Source organism: Homo sapiens, chromosome 1 (assembly GCF_000001405.40).
Source record: "Homo sapiens chromosome 1, GRCh38.p14 Primary Assembly".
In the NCBI taxonomy this organism is placed as follows: Eukaryota; Metazoa; Chordata; class Mammalia; order Primates; family Hominidae; genus Homo; species Homo sapiens.
In genome coordinates, this window is record NC_000001.11 from 207,590,615 (window position 1) to 207,617,415 (window position 26,801).

A 26,801-nucleotide genomic window follows, 5' to 3' on the forward strand; every position below is an offset into this window, starting at 1 on the left:
AACATTAAATGTAAATTGGCTAAATGCCCCCAGTTAAAAGACACTGACTGGCAAATTGGATAAAGAGTCAAGACCCATTGGTGTGCTGTATTCAGGAGACCCATCTCATGTGCAAAGACACACATAGGCGCAAAATAAAGGGATGGAGGAATATTTACCAAGCAAATGGAAAGCAAATAAAAGCAGGGGTTACAGTCCTAGTCTCTGATAAAACATACTTTAAACCAACGAAGATCAAAAGAGACAAGAGCATTACATAATGGCAAAGGATGCAACAAGAAGAGCTAACTATCCTAAATATATATGCACCCAATACAGGAGCACCCAGATTCATAAAGCAAGTTCTGAAAGATCTATAAAGAGACTTAGATTCCCACACAATAATAGTGGGAGACTTTAACACCCCACTGTCAGTATTAGACAGGTCAACGAGACAGAAAATTAACAAGGATATTCAGGACCTGAACTCAGCTCTGGACCAAGCAGACCTAATAGACATCTATAGAACTCTCCACCCCAAATCAGCAGAATATACATTCTTCTCAGCACCACATAGCAATTATTCTAAAATTGACCACATAATTGGAAGTAAAGCACTCCTCAAAATGCAAAAGAATGGAAATCATAACAAACAGTCTCTCAGACCACAGTACAATCAAATTAGAACTCAGGATTAAGAAACTCTCTCAAAACTGCACAACTACATGGAAACTGAACAGCCTGCTCTGAATGACTACTGGGTAAATAACGAAATGAAAGCAGAAATAAGTAAGTTCTTTGAAACCGATGAAAACAAAGACACAATGTACCAGAATCTCTGGGACACAGCCAAAGAGTGTTTAGAGCACTAAATTTATAGCACTAAATGCCCACAGGAGAAAGCAGAAAAGATCTAAAATCGACGCCCTGACATCGCAATTAAAGAACTAGAGAAGCAAGAGCAAACAAATTCAAAAGCTAGCAGAAGAGAAGAAATAACTAAGATCAGAGCAGAACTGAAGGAGATAGAGAAACAAAAAACCCTTCAAAAAATCAATGAATCCAGGAGCTGGTTTTTTGAAAAGATTAACAAAATAGACCACTAGCCAGACTAATAAAGAAAAAGAGAGAAGAATCAAATAGACACAATAAAAAATGATAAAGGGGATATCACCACTGATCCCACAGAAATACAAACTACCATCAGAGAATACTATAAACACCTCTACGCAAATAAACTAGAAAATCTAGAAGAAATGGATAAATTCCTGGATACATACAACCTCCCAAGACTAAAACAGGAAGAAGTCGAATCCCTGAATAGGCCAAAAACAAGTTCTGAAATTGAGGAAGTAATTAATAGCCTACCAACCAAAAAAAGCCCAGGAACAGATGGATTCATAGCTGAATCCTACCAGAGGTACAAAGAGGAGCTGGTACCATTCCTTCTAAACTATTCCAAACAATAGAAAAAGAGGGACTCCTCCCTAACTCATTTTATGAGGCCAGCATCATCCTGATACCAAAACCTGGCAGAGACACAATAAAAAAGGAAAATTTCAGGCCAATATCCCTGATGAACATTGATGCAAAAATCCTCAATAAAATACTGGCAAACAAAATTCAGCAGCACATCAAAAAGCTTATCCACAACGATCAAGCTGGCTTCATCCCTGAGATACAAGGCTGGTTCAACATACGCAAATCAATAAACGTAATCCATCACATTAACAGAACCAATGATAAAAACCACATGATTATCTCAATAGATGCAGACAAGGGCTTCGATAAAATTCAACAGCCCTTCATGCTAAAAACTCTCAATAAACTAGGTATTGATGGAATATGTCCCAAAATAATAGGAGCTATTTATAACAAACCCACCACTAATATCATACTGAATGGGCAAATGCTGGAAGCATGCGCTTTGAAAACCAGCACAAGACAAGGATGCCCTCTCTCACCACTCCTATTCAACATAGTATTGGAAGCTCTGGCCAGGGCAATCAGGCAAGAGAAAGGAATAAAGGGTATTCAAATAGGAAGAGAGGAAGTCAAATTGTCTCTGTTTGCATATGACATGACTGTATATTTAGAAAACCCCATTATCTCAGCTTAAAATATCCGTAATCTGATAAGCAACTTCAGCAAAGTCTCAGGATACAAAATCAATGCAAAAATCACAAGCATTCCTATACACCAATAATAGACAAACAGCGAGCCAAATCATGAGTGAACTCCCATTCTAAATTCCTGCAAAGTGAATAAACTACCTTGGAATACAACTTACAAGGGAAGTGAAGGACATCTTCAAGGAGAACTACAAACCACTGCTCAAGGAAGTAAGCGAGGACACAAACAAATGAAAAAAACATTTCACGATTGTGGATAGGAAGAATCAATATCATGAAAATGGCCATACTGCCCAAGGTAATTTATACAGTCAATGCTATCCCCATCAAATTACCAATGGCTTTCTTCACAGAATTACAAAAAAAAAAAAAAAAAAACTACTTTAAACTTCATATGGAACCAAAAAATAGCCCATATAGCCAAGACAATCCTAAGCAAAAAGAACAAAGCTGGAGGCACCACGCTACATGACTTCAAACTATACTATAAGGCTACAGTAAGCAAAACAGCATCGTACTGGTACCAAAACAGATATATAGACCAATGGAACAGAACAGAGGCCTCAGAAATAATGCCACACATCTACAACCATCTGATCTTTGATGAACCTGACAAAAACAAGCAATGGGGAAAGGATTCCCTATTTAATAAATGGTGTTGGGAAAACTGGCTAGCCAGATGCAGAAAACTGAAGCTGGACCCCTTCCTTTACATCTTATACAAAAACTAACTCAAGATGTATTAAAGACTTAAATGTAAGACCTAAAACTATAAAAACCCTAGAAGAAAACCTAGGCAATACCATTCAGGACATAGGCATGGGCAAAGACTTCATTACTAAAACACCAAAAGCAATGGTAACAAAAACCAAAATTGACAAATGGGATCTAATGAAACTAAAGAGCTTCTGCACAGCAAGAGAAACTATCATCAGAGTGAACAGACAACCTACAGAATGGGAGAAAATTTTTGCAATCCATCCATATGACAAAGGACTAATATCCAGAATCTACAAGGAACTTAAACAAATTTACAAGAAAAAACAACCCTATCGAAAAGAGGGCAAAGGATATGAACAGACATTTCTCAAAAGAAGACATTTATGCAGCCAACAAACATGAAAAAAAGCTCATCATCACTGGTCATTAGAGAAATGCAAATCAAAACCACATTGAGATACCATCTTGGGCCAGTTAGAATGGCAATCACTAAAAAGTCAGGAAACAACAGATGCTGGAGAGGATGTGGAGAAATAGAAATGCTTTTACACTGTTGGTGGGAGTGTAAATTCGTTCAACCATTGTGGATGACAGTGTGGTGATTCCTCAAGGATCTAGAACCAGAAATACCATTTGACCCAGCAATCCCATTACTGAGTATATACCCAAAGGATTATAAATCATCCTTCTATAAAGACACATGCACACGTATGTTTATTGCAGCACTGTTCACAATAGCAAAGACTTGGAACCAACCCAAATGCCCATCAATGATAGACTGGATAAAGAAAATGTGGCACATATACACCATGGAATACTATGCAGCCATAAAAAAGGATGAGTTCATGTCCTTTGCAGGGACATTTATGAAGCTAGAAACCATCATTCTCAGCAAACTAACACAAGAACAGAAAACCAACCACCGCATGTTCTCATTCCTAAGTGGGAGTTGAACAATGAGAACACATGGACACACCGAGGGGAACATCACACAGTGGGGCCCGTCAGAGGGTAGGAGTCCAGGGGAGGGATAGCATTAGGAGAAATAGCCAATGTAGATGATGGGTTGATGGTGCAGCAAACCACCATGACATGTGTATACCTATGTAACAAACCTGCACGTCCTGCACATGTATCCCAGAATTTAAAGTATGATAATAAAAAAAAGACTGTGTACTCATTTTTGGTTGCCATGATAAATTCAGAGAGGAAAAACATGATATATATTAAATTTTACTGCAACAACTAACTGCCCCTTGTCATCAGCCTATTCTGTCACTAGAGTGAGTCAGTATTCCTCTTTTCTGACTGTCTGAGCCTGGACGATTTAAACTGCTTTTCACACAACCTCTTGCCCAACCTTTTCTCACCTCCCATTGTGAATGAACATAGATTTCCCTATGGTAAACAAAACAAAATATCACCAAATCTAAGGCAAGATAAAGAAATTGAAGATAAAAGAAACCAACCCAAGAGATCAGAGAAATATTCATCTGCACAACAGCTTCCTCCAATAAACAGGGGACAATCTTTAAAAATCTCTCATATGTGTTTGTAACATAGAATCGATGGAACTATATGAGGCATTTATAAGATTTAATGATCTGATATCAGAAAAGTTGAGATTTGAATGAAACACATGGGAGTCGGAAAAGGAGTGATGACTGGTAGATTGGAGCCTGCCCCCAACCCCCGGAAAAAAAAAAAAAAAACACCAAAGGGATAATGAAGACAAGATTGAATTCTCCAGAATTCATCAAGGACCAGACTTGAAATGACACATATATACACACAAACACACTACACACAAACACACAGGGATATAATATAGAAATTCCAGAAAAAATAAAAGAAAGCAGAATGAATAGAAGCATTAATTAGCACATAATGGAAGACAATTTCTCAGGCTATAAAGAAAAATACTAAGTTGATCCTTGAAGGCTTACTAGACAAATCAAGATTAACAACAATGGGCCCCGGCCCTACATGGAAGAAAATTATGCCATCCAAATATAAAAAAATACTGCCACTCTCCAGAAATAACAAAAAAGAAGAAATTCATCTTAGCACCAAGCTTCCGTTCTGTAACACTAAGTAGTAGAAGTTAGTGTTTGAGAGGAAATATTGTACAATAAAATTTCTGTACTCGGCCAAGCTGCCATTCATCTGCAAGGCACAGATGCATCGTCTTAAATAAGAAGGAACCCCAAACATACACCAGTTAGATATACTGCCTACAAAAAGAAAAACTCCCACAAAGCTGTGGGAGTTTTTCTTTTTGAAGAAGAAATCAAAATTCCAAATGGTGTTGTATCAAAGAAATATTAATGAGGCACAAAACTAGTTAAATGGGGTCACTAAAACTGTTTTATTTAATATGGAAATAAAATATCAAAGCAGGACTAATTCTTGAAAGATAATTCATGTAATATGAAAAGAAGAAGAAACTTGATATAAAAAATAGATTTTATCACTTCAGCTAGGAAGTTAGAGATGAAGTAAGAAAAACCATCATAAACTTATCATATGTAGGGGACACATATTCTTGACATAAAAAATAAGGAGAAAATGGTACTTCACACCAGTATAAAATCTATATATCTATATCTATATATATCTATATCTATATCTATATATATATATATAATCAAATTTTAAAAGATAATCAGAAGGGCGAAACCACTTGGTCCATAAAACAAAAGAGGGGTGAGAGAAACAAGAGCTAGCAAGCTTTCTGTCTCTCTTTTGGGAAACTAGCATTATTACGTTAAAGTGAATTAATACATGTATTTTAATGCCTCAGTTTTTCTTTCTAATATAATAAATATTAACAGATATAAACTCCATTGGTAAAATCACTTTGAGGTCCTTAATACTTCTTAAAGTGGCCGGGCGCTGTGGCTCATGCCTGTAATCCCAGCACTTTGGGAGGCTGAGGCGGGCAGAACACCTGAGGTCGGGAGTTCAAGACCAGCCTGGCCAACATGGAGAAACCCTGTCTCTACTAAAAAATACAAAATTAGCCAGGTGTGGTGGCGCATGCCTGTAATCCCAGCTACTCGGGAGGCTGAGGCAGGAGAATCACTTGAACCCGGGAGGCGGAGGTTGCAGTGAGCCGAGATGGTGCCACTGCACCCCAGCCTGGGCAACAAGAGCGAAACTCTGTCTCAAAAAATAATAATAATAATAATAACAATAACAATAACAAAAATGTTTAAGAGTGAAAAGAATTCTTGAGACCAAAAAAGTTTAAGAACTAGGGCTTGATGATGTTCAAGCAAAGATAGGAAAAGGCTATTGCAAGTACGGTACAAAGCACAGGGGGAAGGTTTCATAAGTATATATATAATATATATATAATATAACATAAAATTCATATATATTATAAAAATAATAAATATGATATAAATTTGATATAAAATATTATATAAATCTGATTTTTAACATATTTTGATTTTATACTGGTGTAAAGTACTATTTTCTCTTTATTTTTTACATCAAGAATATGTATCCCCTACATAGTATAAGTTTATCATAGTTTTTCTTACTTCATTCCTAACTTCCTAGTTGTAGTGATAAAATCTATTATTTTATATCAATAAAAATATTGATATAAATTTTATTTACATGATATACAATATTTAAATATAACATATTTTATATTACAAAATATACTACTATGTATTACAAAAAAAAAAACAAACTCCATTTAGCAGAGCAAGAATGGAGTTTGTTTTGTACAGTGCTGAGTTCCAACCCATAGAATTGTTAAATAAATAAAAAGGAAAGAACACTATAAGATCAAACTCATCAGTTATAATAGTAAATGTGAATGATTCCAATCCCCCCTTTTGAAAGACAAAGGCTTCTAAATATGGTCAGAATCCTATTTACAGTAGCACCAAAAAGAATAAAATACTTAGGAATCAATTTAATCAAGGAGGCACAAGACCTGTGCACTGAAAACTCAGTAACTGAAAATGAGCAAATGATGTGATAGACATGTCTCCAAGGGAAATATACAAATGCCCAATAAACACATCAAAAGATGTTCAACATCATTAGTCATTAGGGAAGTGCAAGTCAACCTGACTTTGTACTAGGATGTTTTGTATTAGGATGGTTATAATATTTTTAAAAAATAGGAAATAAAAGGTGTTGGCGAGGATGTGGAGAAATTAGAACGCTTATACATTGCTGGTGGAAATGTAAAATGGTGTAGCACTGTGGAAAACAGTTTGATGATTCCTGAAAAAGTTAAACATAGAATTACCATATAACCAGCAATTCTGCTCCTAGGCATATACCTAAAGAAATTGAAAACAAGGACTGAAGCAGATGCTCAAATACCAATGTCCGTAGCAGCTTTGTTCAAAATAGCCAAAAGGTAGAAACAACCCAAGTATCTACGAGCAGATGAATGGATAAATGAAATGGAGCTTATCCATTCCATGGAATATTCTTCAGCTATACAAAGGAATAGAGTTCTGATACATGCTACAAGATGCATAAACTTTAAAAACATTATGCTAAGTGAAATGAGCCAGACACAAAAGGATAAATACTGTATTCCACTTTTATGAGGTGCCAAAAATAAGAAAATTTATTGGACTAAAAATAGATTAGAGATAACCAGTGGAAGGAGAGAATAGGGAGTTACAACTCAATACATCCAGTTTCTCATTGGGATGGTGAAAATTTTTGGAACTAAGCAGTGATAATGGTTGTATAATGTTGTGAATGTCATTGATGCCACTGAATTATACCCTTAAAATGGTTTTAATGGCAAATTTTATGTTGTATCTCTTTTAAAACAATAAGAAAGAAAAAAATTTTTAAATATATCATGTGATATTAGGAAAGAAAAAAACAGATAACAGTATAAGAAAAATAAGAATTTAAAACATATCAAATAAGATTTAAAAATTTTGTTTAAGATATTGATACTTGGTCCAGTGCACAATAAAGACAAGAACTTTTTTTTTTTTCTTTTGAGATGGAGTCTCGCTCTGTCACCAGGCTGGAGTGCAGTGGCACTATCTCGGTTCACTGCAACCTCCGCCTCCAGGGTTCAAGCCATTATCCTGCCTCAGCCTGCCGAGTAGCTGGGACTACAGGCATGCGCCACCACGCTGAGCTCATTTCTGTATTTATAGTAGAGACAGGGTTTCACCATGTTGGCCAGGATGGTCTTGATCTCTTGACCTCGTGATCTGCCTGCCTCGGCCTCCCAAAGTGCTGGGATTACAGGTGGGAGCCACCGCGCCTGGCCTGAAGACAAGAACTTTTGAACAAGAGAGCGCTAACTAACGTATTGAAATACATAAAACAAATACTGATATATAGAAGAGCTCATTCAGCTGTTTCAAAGACAGAGCTCTGTAACACATGTACTCTTACCTAAAGAACTGTCTCCCACCACTGGAAAGGAGGTCTTCTCTGACCAAATACACAGCATCTTGGAGTTGGCCAGCATTAACTTGGATCATCTGGCTGGCCAGGAAAGGAGTGCTCAGGGAGAAAGAGGATGGTCACCATCCCAACCAGATTGGCCATTAGATCTATGTATCAACAGAGTGACATACGGGAGAATTAAAATTCTAGTATGCAAAAATACACCGTATGTTAACAGAAAATAGACTGCAGGGAAATTTGTATTAGGTAAAACCGAGAGAAAGTTAAGAGCATACAACAGTAGATAAGCAATAGACAACCCGATATAAAAATGAGGAAAGAATATGCACAGGCAATTCACAAAAGGAAACATAAAAATGGCCTTAAAAATTGCTAAAATAAATATTTAAGCAAAAAAGCTCAACTTCACTATGGTTTGGGGAAATGCAAATTAAAGCAACAATATGTCATGTTTTCACAGTCACATTAATAAAAGTTTAAAAGACGGAAGTAGAGGTAAATAGGAATTTGAGGAAAAGGAGCCCTCTCATAGTGGTTCATTGGAATGTGAATTGCTGCAGCTTTCAAAAAAAAATCTTACACTATCCACAAACAATGAAAGCATAGATATCTTCTTAGCTACTAATCCCACTCCTAGGAAAAGGAGTATTAATTACAATAGGTTCTTTATTGCAGTATTGTTTATATAAGCAAAAAGAGCAAACAACCTTGACATCCTTCTATTAGCAGTAGGTTGAATAAATCATAAGACGTCTACTATGAACTATTTTGCAGCAATCAAGAAGACTTAATTAGATCTCTGTTTAGTGATTTGAATGGGTGACCATGTTGTGATGTCAACAGAAAAAAATAATTTGCAGAAAAGCATATAGAGTTTGTTCTCAATTTGGAAAAATAATGACAAATTTGGAGGAGATATCCTATACACATATGTGTGTTTGATTGGGTTTGGAAAAATCAGGACCACCTGAGATGGAGGTGGGAGTGACAAAATATACATGGTATACTAAGTGAATATATAGGTTATACAATTACGTTGTTAAATTTCTGAAAACAAGTGCAACTTAAGCATATAACTAAGGAGTAGATGTTAACCTGGACAAATGAAACATAGATTGTTTTGAGCAAGAGACGGCAAAATTTTTTGTCAAGAGCCAGATAGCAAAATTTTCAATTTTGCAGACCATGCAATCTCTATTGCAATTACTCAGTTCTGCCATTGCAGTGGAAAAATAGCCCTAGACAAATGAATGTGTGATTGTATTTTGATAAAACTTCATTTACAAATACGTGCTATAGAACAAATTTGGCCTGTGAGCCATAGGGTGACAATCTCCGGTTAGATGAAGGGATTGAGAGCATTATTTTTCTTCAATTCTTGTCATTATGCAAAGTCAGAGAATTTTCTAAAATAAATAAAAATACAAATTGGCAAAATAATAATAGTTGAAAACTTCAGATTGGGCAAATAAGTGAACAAATAATCACATGTTGAGGAATAAGGCTGCTTTGATTCTTGTGTGTTCAACTTTGAAACCTTTATCACAGTTATAAAAACCATTTATAAAAGTGATATAACTCCACAGAGTATACCTCAATAAATTTGCACATAGAAGAAATCAAAATGGGTATATTTTCTCATCGCAATACACCAAAAACTAGGAATTAATAAGCAAATGATACATTAAAAATTCAAAGTTTTAGAAAACGGAGTACCTTAGATCTTGATCAAAGAGAAATTTAAAAACAGCCATTGCAGATTACCTGGAGAATAACAATCGCTAATGATCCTCAAGTGCATGTGCCTCAAGCATTCTTCTAAGTCCTTTACTTGAATTGATTTACTTAGTCTTTAAAAGACCCTTTGAAATGGATATCATGCATATCCCTCATTGTATAGAAGAGAAAACTGAGACAGACAGGTTAACTAATTTGTCCAAATTCATGTGACAGGTTGAGGTTAGAATTAGAATATCGCCAGTCAGCTTCAACAACCTGTAATGGTAAGCCTTACATTATTTATCTTCTTAATTAGGAATGCTGAAACATATATTACTCATAAAAATTTCTGGGGTGCTGATGCCAAAACTGTCCTCAGAGAAATTTTTCAATCCTTTTTGTTACTTGACAGGAAAAAATTCAAATAAATGAACAAAACATTTCTTAACAATTTTTAAATTATTAAAAACATATATAAAAGGCTGCTGGAGTAAGGAATTAATAAAGTAATGAACAAAGAAAAAATCATAGAAATTATAAAGAAATCTAAAAGCAGATTCTTTAAAGTGACCAATTATAAAACAAACAGACTGGGTCAATTGTCATTTCACAAAATAACAATTCTATAAATATACAAGAATGAGAAAGAAGACATAAGCCTGTTGATATTGAAGAGATTTAATACTTGATAAAAATATTATATCTTCTCTATTCTAATAAAATTAAAACTATCCATGAAATGTACCATGTCAGAAGAAAAATACAATTTACCAGGTGTAGTTTAAAATAGGCAGAATTGCTGATAAACCCATATCTGTTTGAGTCCATATTTTCAATTCTTTTAGGTATATACCCAGAAGTGGAATTCCTGGGGGATATGGTAATTCTGTTTAACTTTTCAAAGAATTGCCAGACTATTTTCCACAGCTGCTGTACCATTTTACATCCCCATCAGCAATGCACAAATGTTCCAATTTCTCTACATCCTCACCAACACTTGTCATTTTTCTGGTTTAAAAAAAATTATTATTATACCACCCTAAAAGGGGCTGAAGTCAGTTTGATTTACATTTTCCTAATGACTAATGATGTGGAGCATCTTTTCTTGTGTTTATTGGCCATTTGTATGTCTTTTTTGGAAAAATGTCTATTCTCATCCTTTGTCCATTTCGTAATTGGGTTGTTTGTTTCATTGTTATTGAGTTACAGGAGTCCTTTATATGTTCTAAGTATTAAATCCTTATCAGATAGGGTTTTCACATATTTTCTATCATTCTGTGGGTTGTCTTTTTAATCTCTTGGTGGTATCTTTTGTTCTTGACTTGGACTGCAGGACACTTCAGTTCCTCACTACATGGGCTTCTCCAAAGGACAGCTGGCCTCTCCCAGAATGAGCATCTCAAAAAGAGAAGAAAACATTGCAGTGCTTTTTGTGGTTAGCCTCTGAAGTTGCACACTATATCATTTCCACTTTATTCTAATCATTAGAATCAAGTCACAAAGCACAGCCCACATTCAAAAAGAGAGGAATTGGGCTCCATCACTTGAAGGGACATGTATAAAATAATTTGTGGACATATTTAAAACCACCACAAAGAAGCACCTTTAAAAAAAGACAATGGCCCAGTTTTGTAACTCTTTTTTAACTTCAAGAAATAGATAATCCAAGTATTAATATTATTTAAACTGTTATGGAACATAGAAATAAAATTATAGCCATAATTAAAGTTTGCCAAAGATTACAAATGAAAATAAAATAAAATATATCTCTGGCTCATTTGCTAATATAAATACTAAAAATCTTAAATTGACTATTAAATAAAACCAATATTAAAAGAATTATGCAAGGGGAACAAGTAAGGTTATTCCAGAAATGGTTCCAAATTAGGAAACCCACAAACTTACAATATTAAAGAGTACAACTTTTCTTAAATGTCATATAAATATACTCTCTAATGCCAAAAAACACAATGAATGGTTAAAATCTAAAAGCATGCTTGAATATAATTAAAGTTCAAAGGAAAAGAACACTCGGCATCCTTCCTATTATTCAAAGTAGTTGTGGAAATTCAAACCAGTAAAATGACAGCCCCCTGTATTTAGAGAGATATACATATAGATATAGATAGAGAGAGAGAGAAGGCAAATTTATTATTAACTGATGGTTGTTTACCTGAAAACCCGAAGGAATTATTTGAAAGGTTATTAGAATAGGAAATGGTAGTGAGATATCGAGTAAAAAATAAATACTTATAAATTAATTACTTTCTTTATGTAGGTAACAACCAAATAGAATATAAGGAGGAAAAATACCATTCACAACAGAAACAAAATCATCTAGAAAGAAATTTAACAGGAAATATATAGGACTTATAAGCAGAAGATTTAAAAGAGGGGGACATAGAAAAATACTTCAAGAAATGGAAGATATAATATTTTATTTAAAAGATTTAATGTTGTGGTGATGTTAATTATCCCTGAATTAGTATGCAAATTTAATGTAATCAGTTTCAATGACATTCTTTTTTTTAATTTGACAAGATGTCTGTAAATGTCATGAGACCCACCAACAGAATATTCTGAGATAATAACAAGAAGGGTGTTTGATACCAGATCAGAGGTGGGTTTGATACCCACCTCTCAGTGTCTGGTAACCACCTTTCTACTCTCTACTTCTACGAGTTCAACTATTTTAGATTTCACATGTAAGAAAGATCATGCGGTATTAGTTCTTCTGTCCCTAGCTTATTTTGGAAGGTATTTTAAGGCACAAATATGTTGTAGTGTAATTATGTTGTAATTTTTCCTGACCTGATGTCCCACGTCTGTAAAATTCTTTTATTGAAGCCTAGGCTCTTTCCCTAGGACTCCCTGTCTGGAATCATAAATATCTTACTTCTGTACTTAACAGAATTGTTCTGTCTGCATATAGTCCCCACTTTTTCTCCAAGTAGTTTCTCAAACAAATGCACTTCCTTTCCTGAAAAGATGAGTAAGATTTTAACAGCTTTAAATCTTTATATATAGATATATTTTAAGCCAAACGACTACACTGTACATGGTTTTATAGCCCTCTTTAATACTTACGAACTATATTGTATAATTATTCTAATTATTATATATTACTCTACAACACCATTTTTAGTGGTTGCATTTTGGTTATTACTTGGATAGTCCATAACCTACCTAACAAAGTCCTTAATGTCTGGAATTAAAGTGGTTTCGCATTTCAACTGTTAGCAAAAACACTACAATGCACGATCCTGCACACGTGAAAAGAAATGAGATGAGGACTTCACTAACTTCAAAGACAGCTTAAGGATTCAGATCTTCACATGTACACAAGAGACAAGATTTGCAGATTTGAGTGAAAGGCTATGCACGATTTTAAGCCTTTCAGTACATATTGCCAAAGTGCCCTCCACTAAACTTTGACCATGACCTACGGAGTGAGTCACAACAGTGACTCTTTCTTTGAGTTTATATTACTGCTAGGTTTTGTCAATTTGCCAATCTAATGGGCAAAAACGGCATTTTATTTGCATTTTAAAGTGTATTTATCATGTTTATAAGGAAGCTAAACTTTTCATATGTTCATTTGACTATTTCCATTTTTCGTTTGTAAATTATTTGTTCATAATTCTTTACCATTTTTCTACTTGGGTGTTTGCCTTTTTATAATTGATGTATAAGAGTTGTTTTTATTATTTTTCCTCTGTGGTTTGTCTTCAAATTTGTATGTAGAAAGGTTTATTTGTAATTATTCAGTTTTATCAGTTTTGTTCATAGTAGAATTTTTCCTCAATGTATGTCTATAGAAGCCTCAAATCAGAAACACGTTTGCCTAAATCACCTAGTTCTTTTATGGTTTTATTTTTGACATTTAATCTTTGATACACACGGATTTTGCTTTGATGAATGTCATGAGGCAGAGATCTAGCTTAGCTTTTCAGATATTTGCCCTATCAATGAATAATTCAGTTTTCCGTGTCTTGAAATGCCATCTTTATCACTGCCAATTTCTTACAAAAACTTGTATCTATTTCTTGGGCTTTCCCCCATTTTGCTCTAGGGATCTGTGTCTCTATTCCTGCATCATTTCAATTATTTTACATTTTAAATGCATTTTAACATCCCTTCTGTTTTTGTGCCTTAAAATACCTTCCAAAATAAGCTAGGCACAGAAAAACTAATGCCACATGATCTTACTTCCATGTGAAATCTAAAACAGTTGAACTCATAGAAGTAGAGAGTAGAAAGGTGGTTACCAGGCACTGAGAGGTGGGGAGCTGAGATTTGGTCAAAGGGCGCAGGGTTTCAGTTAGACAGGAGGAGTAAGTTTCAGAGATCTATTCCACAGCATGGTGACTATAGTTAATAATAATGTGTATTTCCAAATTGCTGGCCGGGCACAGTGTCTCATGCCTATAGCTCTTTGGGAGGCTGAGGCATACGAATTGCTTAAGCCTAGAAGTTAGAAACTAGGCTGGGCAAAATGGCAAAACCCTGTCTCTACCAATAAATACAAAAATTAGCCAGGCATGGCAGCGCATACCTGTAGTCCCAGCTACTCGGGAGGCTAAGGTGGGAGAATGGTTTGAACCTGGGAGGCAGAGGTTGCAGTAAGCCAAGATCACATCACTGCACTCCAGCCTGGGTGATAGATCCAGACCCTGTCAAAAAAAAAAAAAAGAAAGAAAGAAAAGAAAAAGAAAGGGAAAAAAAATTGCTAGAAGAGTAGATTTTAAATATTCTCACCACACACACACACACACACACACACACACACACAAAACAAATATGAGAGGTGACGGACATGTTAATTAGCTTAATTTAATCATTTGCAACAGAAACATATATCAAAACACCACATTTTACCCTATAAATATATACAATTATTGTTTGTTCATAAAAATAAAATCAGATTTTAAAAAATATTCACTGTGTTTTTTTCAGCCATACATAGGCTGGAACCTTCTTCACATTTTGGCTCCAACAATCTAGCTTAGTCACAGCGAGCACATCTAAAACAACCTCTAGGAGGCCAAAAGTCAGAGGACTCCCATGATCCTGTGCTCTTAGACAACTTTTAAATGTATGATAGGAGACAGGCAGAGGAAAACACAGGTAATAATGGGATTATCCTTTTCTTTCCTTTCTCCAGTGGTTCTCAACTTGTTTAATTGCAGCAATTTTTAAGATTTTTTTTCTTGGCACACTTGAAAAGATTGTATACCATAGCCTAAACAGGCTAGCAATAAGTAAAATTCAATCAGTACCTAAAACGTAAAAGAGACTCACTGTGTCTACAAAAACATTGACGGTCATTGCCATAGTCACACAGTTCCCTTTAGCTTTCTGTCACTGTTTCGGGAAGAGCTGGTATATCAGTTAGGATTTCCAGCTGTAAAAGACAGAAGAAATAAAATAACAGGATCTCAAACATAGATAGTAGTTTACTTCTGTCTCAGGTTAAAAATCACGAAAGTAGGCAGTCCAGGGTTTATACGATGACTCCATAATCCACAGAAACCTGGGTTCCTTCCACTTTGCTACTCTGACCTCTTCAAAATGAGAGCCCATCTTATCTCATGGTCTAAACTCCAGCCAGTATAGAGGACACAGGGAAGAAGGGAAGGCCAATTCCTTTAAAGACACTTTCCAGAAGTTGCACAAGACACTCCACTTACATCCTCTGGCCAGAAGTTAGTAACATGGCTATGCCCGGCTGTAAGGAAAGGTGAGAAGTGAAACCTTTATTGCAGGTGGCCAATGGCCCAGTTAAAAATAGAGGGTTCCATTACTAATGAAGGAGAGGAAAGTGGATACTAGGGATGGCACCAGTAGTCTTTGCTACAAATGGTTACTGCCCTGATCACATTTCTTACATAATCAAGAGGAAAAGTTCTTAACTGTTGCAGTTACTGCCTCATCATTATATGGCATTCCATTTTACCCTTTAATTTTTACTTGGTCAAGTTTAGGCCTGCTGTACACCAGAACACATGAATAGCTTTGCTCAGCATTCTTTGTGACGTTGCTCACAGTAACATTATGGATACCTAATAAATTTTTTAAAAGACAAAATGTTCTACGTTTTGTGGCCTACTCTGGATGGCTTTAAGGTAAAGTGGGTGAGTATCCCTACCCTTTACATTTCAAGTGTAGGGGTGTTTAGCTGTCTCTTCTGGCTCTCATTTACTGACTCTTCTGGGTAAATCCATTGTTCTTTCTTTTATACAAGAGACTATCTGAGCACCCAAAACTTGAAAGTCTCTAAGCTAGGTGCTATAGTGTTAAATATTTCAGTAAGATATTTTCCCTGCTTAATCCAGGAGCTTGTCATTTCCTTGCTGGAAGTACACATGGATAAAATAACTGCAAGGTTTCTGAAAGACTTAAGTACAAAAATGTCCTGCAAAGAAAAAGGGAAATATCTCATTCAGTTGTGAGGGATTAGGAATAAAAATGAATTGGAGAGGTCAAAATGTAAGCTTGTCCTCAAAAAGAAAGGACTAATTTGCAGATGGAGATGGGGTTTCTTCCTTCCGAGGTCTGCCATGGTGTAATCTGTCCTGTAATGTCTAATGTCTACCTGCTATTATTTTCTAAATGGTGAGTTAAATGGGAAATATGTGTAGCGTATAACCATTTTCTATCCTTTGCTTTAGGTTTCGACTCATTGGTTCCCCATCTACTACTTGTCTCGTCTCAGGCAATAATGTCACATGGGATAAGAAGGCACCTATTTGTGAGAGTAAGTTGAAATACTTTTCTCCACAAATTCCTCTGTGTGATCCTGACTTGCCCCTGGAGTACAAAGAATAAATTGAATCCTTCTTGCACAAAGTAGTCTCTCAGATATTTGAAAATAGGAGTCAGATGCTTCATGGTCTTCCTGGCTTTTCTTTATCTTAAAAGGTGATTTATCTGAAACTGTGGGCTTGAACCTAGGCAAAATACCCTACTTTCCCATTATAATAGTAAATATTTCCAGTATAGAGAGTGTTGTCCTTAATGAGTACATTTTAAAGGCGTTAGACAAAATTAGATCTGTCTTTGCCAACTCTTACTATCTATCAGGTTACAATTCCACAAAGTAGGCTACTCACTTTCTTGTTATTCTAATCCAAATAATAAAAAGAACTCTTCTTCCAGTTCTTAGCAATTTTCCTAAGCCTCTGATCATTTTGAGTTCTAATCCTCCTTCAATTCTTTTAGGCCCATGTCTTCAGTTGTATTTGTTCTCGATTAGCTGACCCTCCATTTTTCCCATAAGATATTTTTCAATGAATCTCCAAAACTTTAAAACCATGGAAGAATGATTGCAAATTGGCAAAGTGTTATAGCTGTGAAGAAGTCGTCATCGCACACAGAGTTGATGGCAGCAAAAGTAGGCACAGACTTCCAGAAAGCTAATGACCAATATAAACAAAAGTAAAGTAAATACCCTCTGACTGACAATTCCATTTCCCAGAATTTAGCCCAAGAAAATAATCATGAAATAGTCCCATGATTTTGGTCCAGAGATACTCAATGCAATAATATTTGTGATAGTGGAAAATGTTAAACAACCTAAATGTTCAGCATGGTTTGAAAATAGCTAGTAGAAGAAATAAGGCATATTTTAATGGCTATCAGTTTTTCGGAAAGGTAAAAAAGTGCACCAGGAGGAATTAAAGGTTGAGATGCCTCATCCAAGTGGAAAAAGTACATCTATGTAGCTACATGACTGATTATTATTCAGCCACCAAATATGGTAGTATAGAAAATATATCCATCCATACATATGCATGTATCCACATATGTATCTAAGAGGATATAATTAAATTGTTACAAATAGTTATCTTTGAACCATTTTCACTTTCTTCTTTCTCTTTGTCCATATTTTATAAATTTCCTACAATGAATGTGTTCATTGTAGTCACTAATATTCTTCCCCCCCAAATTAACATTGACTTTTAAACATTAAATGAATGAGAATGTATACAAGGTGCCTCCCATATCTGCCAAGAACTTGAAATTCTATGAAATAATTCAAATTATCAAAGAATTATCAGTTTACTATACAAAGTTTTCAAGGCATGGCACCTTTTGTAGGGGGTTATCTTTTATAAAAAAATTTCCACTTCTACATTTATAGGTCAGTGATCATTTAATTGAGTCAATACTGGTTATGTGTGTATATGTGTGTAGTCACTTAGCCAATATGTGAATATTATTATCTTATGATAGAACACAGTATTCATTTATCATTTTATTGCCCTTAAATCTGCCATTATTTCATTTCTCATGCCTTATCTTTTGTGTTTCCTTTTCTCTCTTTTTCTTCATAAATAATGCCAGAAGTGGTATATTTAAACTGCAAAGAGGTTATTTTAATAACCTATAGGAAAAAATAGTCCAGCAATAGATAAGTACCTTAACAATCTGTGATAAAATCACATGTATTATCCACTTAAAATTATAAATATATAAACCCAAAAAAACATGGATTTTTTTTGTGAAATATGAGCAGAACCCATATCATACACACCTAAATTTCAACTAGGTAAAAATGTCTGATTATTAGCAAATATTTTAAGAAAATAACAGTATTGTAATTCCATTTAGAAAATCATTGGATTATTTGCATTTGGTATTTAAATTCATAGTAAAATAATTCATTATTAAAAAATAAGCTGTTTTACCATACTCTTCCTTCTCTCAGTCATATCTTGTGAGCCACCTCCAACCATATCCAATGGAGACTTCTACAGCAACAATAGAACATCTTTTCACAATGGAACGGTGGTAACTTACCAGTGCCACACTGGACCAGATGGAGAACAGCTGTTTGAGCTTGTGGGAGAACGGTCAATATATTGCACCAGCAAAGATGATCAAGTTGGTGTTTGGAGCAGCCCTCCCCCTCGGTGTATTTCTACTAATAAATGCACAGCTCCAGAAGTTGAAAATGCAATTAGAGTACCAGGAAACAGGAGTTTCTTTACCCTCACTGAGATCATCAGATTTAGATGTCAGCCCGGGTTTGTCATGGTAGGGTCCCACACTGTGCAGTGCCAGACCAATGGCAGATGGGGGCCCAAGCTGCCACACTGCTCCAGGGGTGAGTGTGACCCATCAAGACTTTGCTGGGTGTGAGGGTACGTATAGATGATAGGAGTTGTTGAAATTAAGGAAGAAGTGTATAAGGACTATGAAATTGGCATAAACATAATAGTAGCTTCACTGTCTGTTATCTCTGTTAATAATTGTCTCAAAGTAATGGCTTATTCTCTCATCTATAGTAGACATATTTTAGATGCATTTTTGAATTTAACATTTACAGCAAATATATGAAGTAGCTACTATTGGTATCCCCATTTTACTTTGAGAGAACTGAGTCTTAGTGATATTAAAGAACTTTTCCAAGGCTCTGACTCCAGAGCCTAATCATAATGTACAGTGGAATGTATCATGAACAATAATGTGTAATAGTGATGATCGTATCTCTATCCCTGGAGTGGGGCAGTAGGCAAGTGAGCCATGAGGACCAAAATGAGAGCATCAAATCAAAAAGGCCTTGGACTTCAACTTCAACTTTTTCTCATTATAATTGAAAAGACTGAAGCTCAGAAAAAGTGTTTTGCTCAAATCCAAACAAATATATATATATGTATATACACACACACACATATATACTTGATATATAATTATATATTGTTCAGATTGAGGCTCAAATTCATTCTTTGAGGTTTTTTGATTGTTTGTTTGTTTGTATGTTTGTTTGAGAGAAGGTCTCGCTCTGTTGCCCAGGCTGGAGTACAGTTGTACAATCATAGTTCACTGAAGCCTCTAACTCCTGGGCTCAAGTAAGACCTCTGCCTCAGTCTCACAGGTAGCTGGAACTCCAGGTGCTCACTACCACACCTGGCTAATTTTTATTTATTTTTAGAGACAGAGTCTTGCTATGTTGCCCAGGCTGATCTTGAGCTCCCGTCCTCAAGCAATCCTCCTGCCTCAGCCTCCCAAAGTACTGGGATTTCAGGCCTGAGCCACCATGCCTAGTTTCAAATGCATTCTGATGCCCTGAGAACACACCAATTGTCCTGTGGATGGAGGCAGCCAACATTTCGGTTAAAATACGGTCTAAGCAATATGTTCTATCACTAAAAAGTCTGTAGCTTTTTTTTCTTTGAGGGGGGGTTGTTCTTTTTGTTTATTTTTAATTTATTAATCTTTAATTTTTGTGGGTACATAGTAGGTGTATATATTTATGGGTATATGAAATGTTTTGATACAGGCATGCAATGTAAAATAATCATGGAGAATGAGGTATCCATGCCCTTAAGCATTTATCCTTTGTGTTACAAATAATCCAATTACACTCTTTCATTTTTAAATGTACAATTAAGTTATTACTAACTATAGTCACCCTGTCATGCTATCAAATACTACATCTTATTCATTCTTTCTTTTTTTTTTTGTACCCATTAACTGTCCCCACCTCCCCTCCCTACCCTCACCCCCTATCCCCACGATTTTGTTCTTGATGCCTCCTCTTTTCTTAGCTGAAATGACTGGCTTAAAACATGGAGTGGGAAGAATTAGGACTGGTCACAGGGACAGAAAGGAAGCTAACAGTTCAGCCCTGTGCTGACTGAAAGAGGGTCAGGGAGTGTGGAAAATGAAGAATACGTGAAGGTGTCTGTTAGATGAGACCTTGGCAACAGTACTCCTTGCTGTTGCCTTACGCATGAGCTTGAGGGACTGCCTCTGTAGGAAGTGGAAGAGTGGCCAAACCACCCGCACTCACGACTCTGTGCTCCATAACCAGTAGTTGAAAGCAAGAGGAATATGCTGCCTTATAGTCTTTGGAACATGTTTCAGTAGAAAAAACACAGACAAGGTGTTGGAGAGACTTTGATTCTAGTCACAGTTCTGCTTGGTTTCCTTAGCTTCCTTGTTAGTGAGATGTGGCTACTGAACTACCAATCTTCTCTTTTAATAGCTGCACTCTGCAATGACGATTTTTAAGCCCTCTGGTAAGCATAAGATATAACAAAGGAAATTGCCCCATATCTAACAAGTGCTCTGGAACTGTCCTTTCCACAGTGTGTCAGCCGCCTCCAGAAATCCTGCATGGTGAGCATACCCTAAGCCATCAGGACAACTTTTCACCTGGGCAGGAAGTGTTCTACAGCTGTGAGCCCAGCTATGACCTCAGAGGGGCTGCGTCTCTGCACTGCACGCCCCAGGGAGACTGGAGCCCTGAAGCCCCTAGATGTACAGGTGCCTTGACTCTCTGGCTTCCAGATTGCTCTGTTTTCCCCTTCACATGGAGGACTTACTCCTGTTGTTTTATTTTTTCTTCTAGTGAAATCCTGTGATGACTTCCTGGGCCAACTCCCTCATGGCCGTGTGCTACTTCCACTTAATCTCCAGCTTGGGGCAAAGGTGTCCTTTGTTTGCGATGAAGGGTGAGTGTGACCCAGCGTTGAGACCAAGGACTCAGTGTGGAGAATCACTCTCTTGAGATCAGGGGTTAATCCAATTAAGGAGCTGACCTAGTAGATAAGAAGTACCCAGAGAGATTAATTTATGGAAGGGTAGTTTTGAAATAAGGGTAGGGACTAAGTGGCACCACTTTCAGAAGGCAATGAGAAAATGGCACATACAGCTCAATGTCAGGTACAAACCTAAATACAGTCACTGATCTTGAGTACACAGTTGGAACTTGAAATGAATGGGTACGTATTTATTTGGAGGCAAAAGAACATAATTTTATAAGAGGTATGCTAGAAAATAAATGATGAATAAGACAAAAATTGTTTGCCCCATAAGAAGTAAGGTAGAGGTTGTCTTAAGAAACTTAAAACCAATCAATAGTGGAATCTGTAATAGTGCATGGATAAGTGTGTTTTAACCCAATAATATATCTTCAGGTCAGGAATGGCCAGTGTAATTCTTTTAATGCAGGATTTTTCTCAGCCACTTTGCCAGCCAGTGACTTCTGGACAGCAATGCCCCTGCCCAGGCCTTGCTTGGGCCCAGGCTCACCGCAGGAAACACCCCAGATACTTAGCCCACTGGGCGGCGTCTGGCTGGTGCTCTGACTGGGACCCTGGGGCCACCATGACTGCACACTCAGCCCCTGGTGGGAGGGGATGTGTGAGTGAGTGAGTGTGGGGTCCAGCTGGCCACTCCAAGCACCTGCACAGGAATGGGCTCTGAGCAGTGCTGGCGGCTGGACCAGGCATGTCGCACTGAAGGGAACGTGGTGGTGCCCAAACAGGGGTGCCCATGACCCCAAAGCCCAGAGGAGGTGTTACAGCACACTAATGGCTCTTAGCATTTGATAATGCCTGCAGCCCAACAGATGACAGTGTGCTTAACAGCTCTGTCAATCCTGTCGCCCCACATCTCCTGTCGCCCAGCTCTGGCTTGATCCGCTGCTGCTTCCTTTCGCGTGGTACAGCTGCCCTCCCACAGCAGAGGGCGGAGGGCCACAGTGTTACAGGCTTCTTTGTACCTGCGTTTGGTGGGTCCTGAGTTGTTGTCCCGCATCCAAGAAGAACAAGGTTATACTGACAATAGAAGGGTGAGGAGGGTGGAGAAGAGTTTTATTGAGTGACAAAACAGCTTCTCAGCGGAGACGAGACACGAGGGTGGACCCCAGATGAAGTCAGGGGGTCATTCTCTCTCTCAGCGTGGCTGGTTCTGGGGCTTTTATGGACACAGAATGGGGAGCCTGTGCTGATTGGTTTGTGACTATGCAAAAAAGACTAAAACAAAGACACCACTCAAAGGTGGGCACAACAGTGTAAAAAACCAATTAGGGAAGCTCAGGTATATGTAAACTAAATGAACAGTGAGGATCAATCAGAGGAAAGCACACCAAATGGGAAGAGAGGTTCTCAAACCAGTCCATGGATTTACCTGGAACTTGTAGCTAGGCTTTAAACTGTCTTCAGCTTGAAGGTCGGGTTTCACCGGGATCTGCCCCATCTGCCTAGGATTTGTCTGCCTCCTGCTTCTATCAGTTTCAAGTGGTATTATTAGTTGTTTATGTGTATCCATTACTCTTGGTGGTGTGCACTATGAGTCTGGAGGGATAACTAGATTGGGCAATTAAGCAGTTATTTTTAATGATTTCCAAAGAATCTTCGGCATTTACAAAGTCCACCACCTAATAATGATTTCCAATTTCAGAATGATTTCAGATTTCAGAAGGCAAGCAGGATTCAATAAGTTGGGCATTTTGGGGTGCAAAGACTCTTCCCCCCTCCCTTCTTTTTTTCTTAGAGCACGTGGTTCAGCATGCTTCTGTGAGCCTCCTCTGGCCTGTTACAGTTGTAGTAGCAAGAAGAACAGTGCCCGTTCTCTTTCTAGATGTTCCTGGCTTTGCTTACCAAATCGAGAGCTGTTCTGCCTCATGACCCACTAATGAGAATAAGTGGGATGTCAGAGAGCCATCAGTGAAAGATGACACCTGAAGGTTATGGCTCTTGTGCCCATGGAGAAGTATGGTTCTGTGTTCATGCCTTCTGTAGGTGATGCTGGGCTATGAAGTTTATATGGCAATTATGCACATCAGCTCTAATTGCTTTGCCAGTCACAGGGTACCATGGTTCTTTAGAATAAATTGGCCTTTGAGTTTCTGTCAGCTACTGAAGAATTCAGATCCCTAATGAACTAAGACTTTTAGCTGGGCCTGAACCTAAGACCTAAATGATAGTCGAGGAGGAAATGGTAGTGAGGAAGCTGAGCATCTATTAGCGAAGAAATCAAGGGAGAGATGGGAATTGCTCACACATTTGCTACCACTTTTTTTTTCTTTAGGTTCCGATTAAAAGGCAGGTCTGCTAGTCATTGTGTCTTGGCTGGAATGAAAGCCCTTTGGAATAGCAGTGTTCCAGTGTGTGAACGTGAGTAGAAAGAACTATGTAGTTTGGATAGCTCTCCTTATTTTCGTTTTCCAGCATGTTTTTCCGCATGGCATCACCTGTTGTCTAGATCTTTACTTAACTAAATTATGGATAAAAATACTTCTTTGTTGGAAGAATTTCAAGAAGGGTCTTGTAGGTCTTCTCTGACATGTGTTTTTGTTACTAATCTGCAAATCACTTAGTTTAATGACTGTTTAATTTTGTGGGGAATGTGTGGCAAGAAACTAGATGACATAAAGGTGCAGCACGTTTTAGTCAGTCATTTATTTTTAGTTTTCTTATCAAGGAGGAATCTTTCTTAAATTTTTATTTTTATTTTTATTTTCTGAGACACTGTCACCCAGGACAGAGTGGAGTGGTGCAATCACAGCTCACTGCAGCCTCAACCTCCTGGGCTCAAATGACCCTCGCACCTCAGCCTCCCAGTAGTTGGGACTACAGGTGCATGCCACCACACCTGGCTAATTTTTGTACTTTTTGTAGAGATAGAATCTCGCCATATTGCCCCAGCTGGTCTCAAACTCCTGGGCTCAAGCTATCCTCCCACCTTGGCCTCCAAAAGTGTTAGGATTACAAGTGCGAGCCACCATGCCCAGCCAAATTTTTATGTTCTTTTATCCCCTCGCATATCATAAACAATTTAGTCAGCTTGTTTTTTAGCCTGCAGTATTTAATGACATAGGGCTTCCCATGTGCCAGGACTTTCCATGTGTAGAAAAAGCAATGAATAGTGAATGAATAGTGAAGACACCTCCCTACTTTCCTGGGATGTATTTTCTTGTTGGGAAGCAGACTATGAACAAGGAAATAAATAAGTAAACAAAATTCTAAAAATTATAACATATAAAATGGTAGTTAAATAGGGATGTTATGGAGAAAATAAAACAGAGTTATATGATAAATTAGTACGATGGAAGGAGCTGGGATGATGAATCAGTGTCTGAAATGATGAGGTGTCCTAAGTTTCCAAACCATCCGCTTAAATAAAATATGCCAAAATTCAGAAAAAATTCAGAAACTCTTAGATAAAAGTACATGTTTGACATACCAAGACATTACTGATTGATTCTATTCTGTCTACTAAAGCAAGGCAAGAATTTTTTAAACCTTGTTTTCCTGATTATTAGAAAATGTTTATTTTAATTTGTATTGTGTTAAAATAACTTATAGAAATCAATTTGGATACCTTATGGTGAGTATTATGGTGAAGAACATTCAATACCTGAGGAAACTCAAGTATTCAACAAACTCAACCTTACAGAGACACATAGAGCTGAAAATAAATATATAAATAAACTTAGGAAAACACAAACAGGTAAAATTCAAGCATGAGAAGTCAATCATTGTTTGATGTACTAGGTCTTTTATATACACATAATTCTGATAAATTTGGGTATCTCTTCCTAAATTCATATCAAACTAGAAGCATCAATTGCTTTTAGGGAAGGAACTGTTCTAAGCAGACTAAAAGGAGGAAGAAATGGTGGCTAATAATTGGAAGAAATCAAAAAAGGCTCTTTGGCACCATTTAATCTGAGTAAAAACAGCCTTACTGGTGTCTGATGACACCACTGGAAATTTGGTATTGGTCCTGATGGTAATGGTCTTGAATCACCAAGAAACATTTACATTGCTAAAGATGATAGCTCATGTTTATTAAAGTTCATAGATTTCCTTGAAACTTATGGTCTCTGATGACCAAAACTTTGTCTGTCTTGAACCTCATTGTCAACTCAGGAATCTTACTATGCCTGAGTTAAAGTAGACAACCAAATGGGTGTTTTTAAAAAAAATAAAAACAATTACTTTCCAAATTCATTGTGAACATAGGTACCTGAGTGGTCCAGGAACACTGTCTTTGGGCTTTTGCAATAAACTGTAATTTAGGTCTCACTTCAGTTAGTTGCCTCTCAACAAAAGCCTTACAGATTTAAATTCCGTCTACCTTAGTTATATTCTTTCTAAAAGTTATATTCTTTTTAAGCGCACAGTCACAGGTCACTATTGTTTCAGTCATCTTAAGTGAAATTCTAATAGAACTTAAAGCTCTTGTTTTCTTTCTAGAAATCTTTTGTCCAAATCCTCCAGCTATCCTTAATGGGAGACACACAGGAACTCCCTTTGGAGATATTCCCTATGGAAAAGAAATATCTTACGCATGCGACACCCACCCAGACAGAGGGATGACCTTCAACCTCATTGGGGAGAGCTCCATCCGCTGCACAAGTGACCCTCAAGGGAATGGGGTTTGGAGCAGCCCTGCCCCTCGCTGTGAACTTTCTGTTCCTGCTGGTTAGTACCTGCTTCCACATATCCTAAATGGGTTCAGAATATCTAGGTAAGAACCTCCATATTTCTATAGTGACAGTCATTTTTGCTTGTGAAAATGGCTTTGCTGTAACTGTCAGAGACAGAACTACCTCCCAAGTGAATGACAAACGGGTTATAGATAGGCACGCTGTCTCAATTGTTGGTATTCTGATGGTCCTTCCTATGGGGTGAAGAGTGTGGGATGGTAAGGAGAGAAGGGGGTGGACAGTGAAGAGAATTGATGAGGTCCAGATTTAGTAGGGAATGTTTTCAAAGTACTGAAAACAAATGCTAAAGAAAATACTCTTTTATTCCACCTCTACTACTACGAGTTATCTTTATCCTGGAGAGATGGATGTGCTGTGCAAAAAGTACACATTGATGATGTAATTTACTTCAGAACTGATAACGCTATAAAAGTAATTTGAGAAACTCAGATGTAGGGATTTATACTTTTTATGTTGTTTCCAAGGGTTTGTTCAAGCCACTGACTATGTTTGTTTGATCCTTCACCTCAACATTAACAAAGGGAACTCAGGAGGCCCTGGAGAAGCAGAGTTTAAAATTGTACTCTTAGCCTAATGGGTGCAGCAAA

General features: G+C 37.0%; 1 protein-coding gene across 1 annotated transcript in view, besides 1 other annotated feature; it reads left to right on the forward strand.

Annotated features, from left to right (window-relative positions):
• The window catches only part of CR1 (complement C3b/C4b receptor 1 (Knops blood group)), a 145,609-nt gene that overhangs the window by 94,458 nt on the left and 24,350 nt on the right, over positions 1-26,801 (forward strand). The window contains exons 36-41 of the mRNA NM_000651.6: positions 16,637-16,722; positions 18,676-19,074; positions 21,063-21,239; positions 21,325-21,427; positions 23,790-23,875; positions 25,961-26,188. Coding sequence (NP_000642.3) covers positions 16,637-16,722; positions 18,676-19,074; positions 21,063-21,239; positions 21,325-21,427; positions 23,790-23,875; positions 25,961-26,188 — 1,079 coding nt within the window. The remainder of the gene's footprint in view (positions 1-16,636; positions 16,723-18,675; positions 19,075-21,062; positions 21,240-21,324; positions 21,428-23,789; positions 23,876-25,960; positions 26,189-26,801) is intronic.
• Positions 9,794-10,352: an enhancer, noted in NCBI's record as "NANOG hESC enhancer chr1:207773753-207774311 (GRCh37/hg19 assembly coordinates)". NCBI's record gives its function as "activates a minimal SCP1, AML or CMV promoter by ChIP-STARR-seq in naive H9 embryonic stem cells {active_cell/tissue: H9 hESC(naive)}" and the evidence as "EXISTENCE:reporter gene assay evidence [ECO:0000049][PMID:30033119]".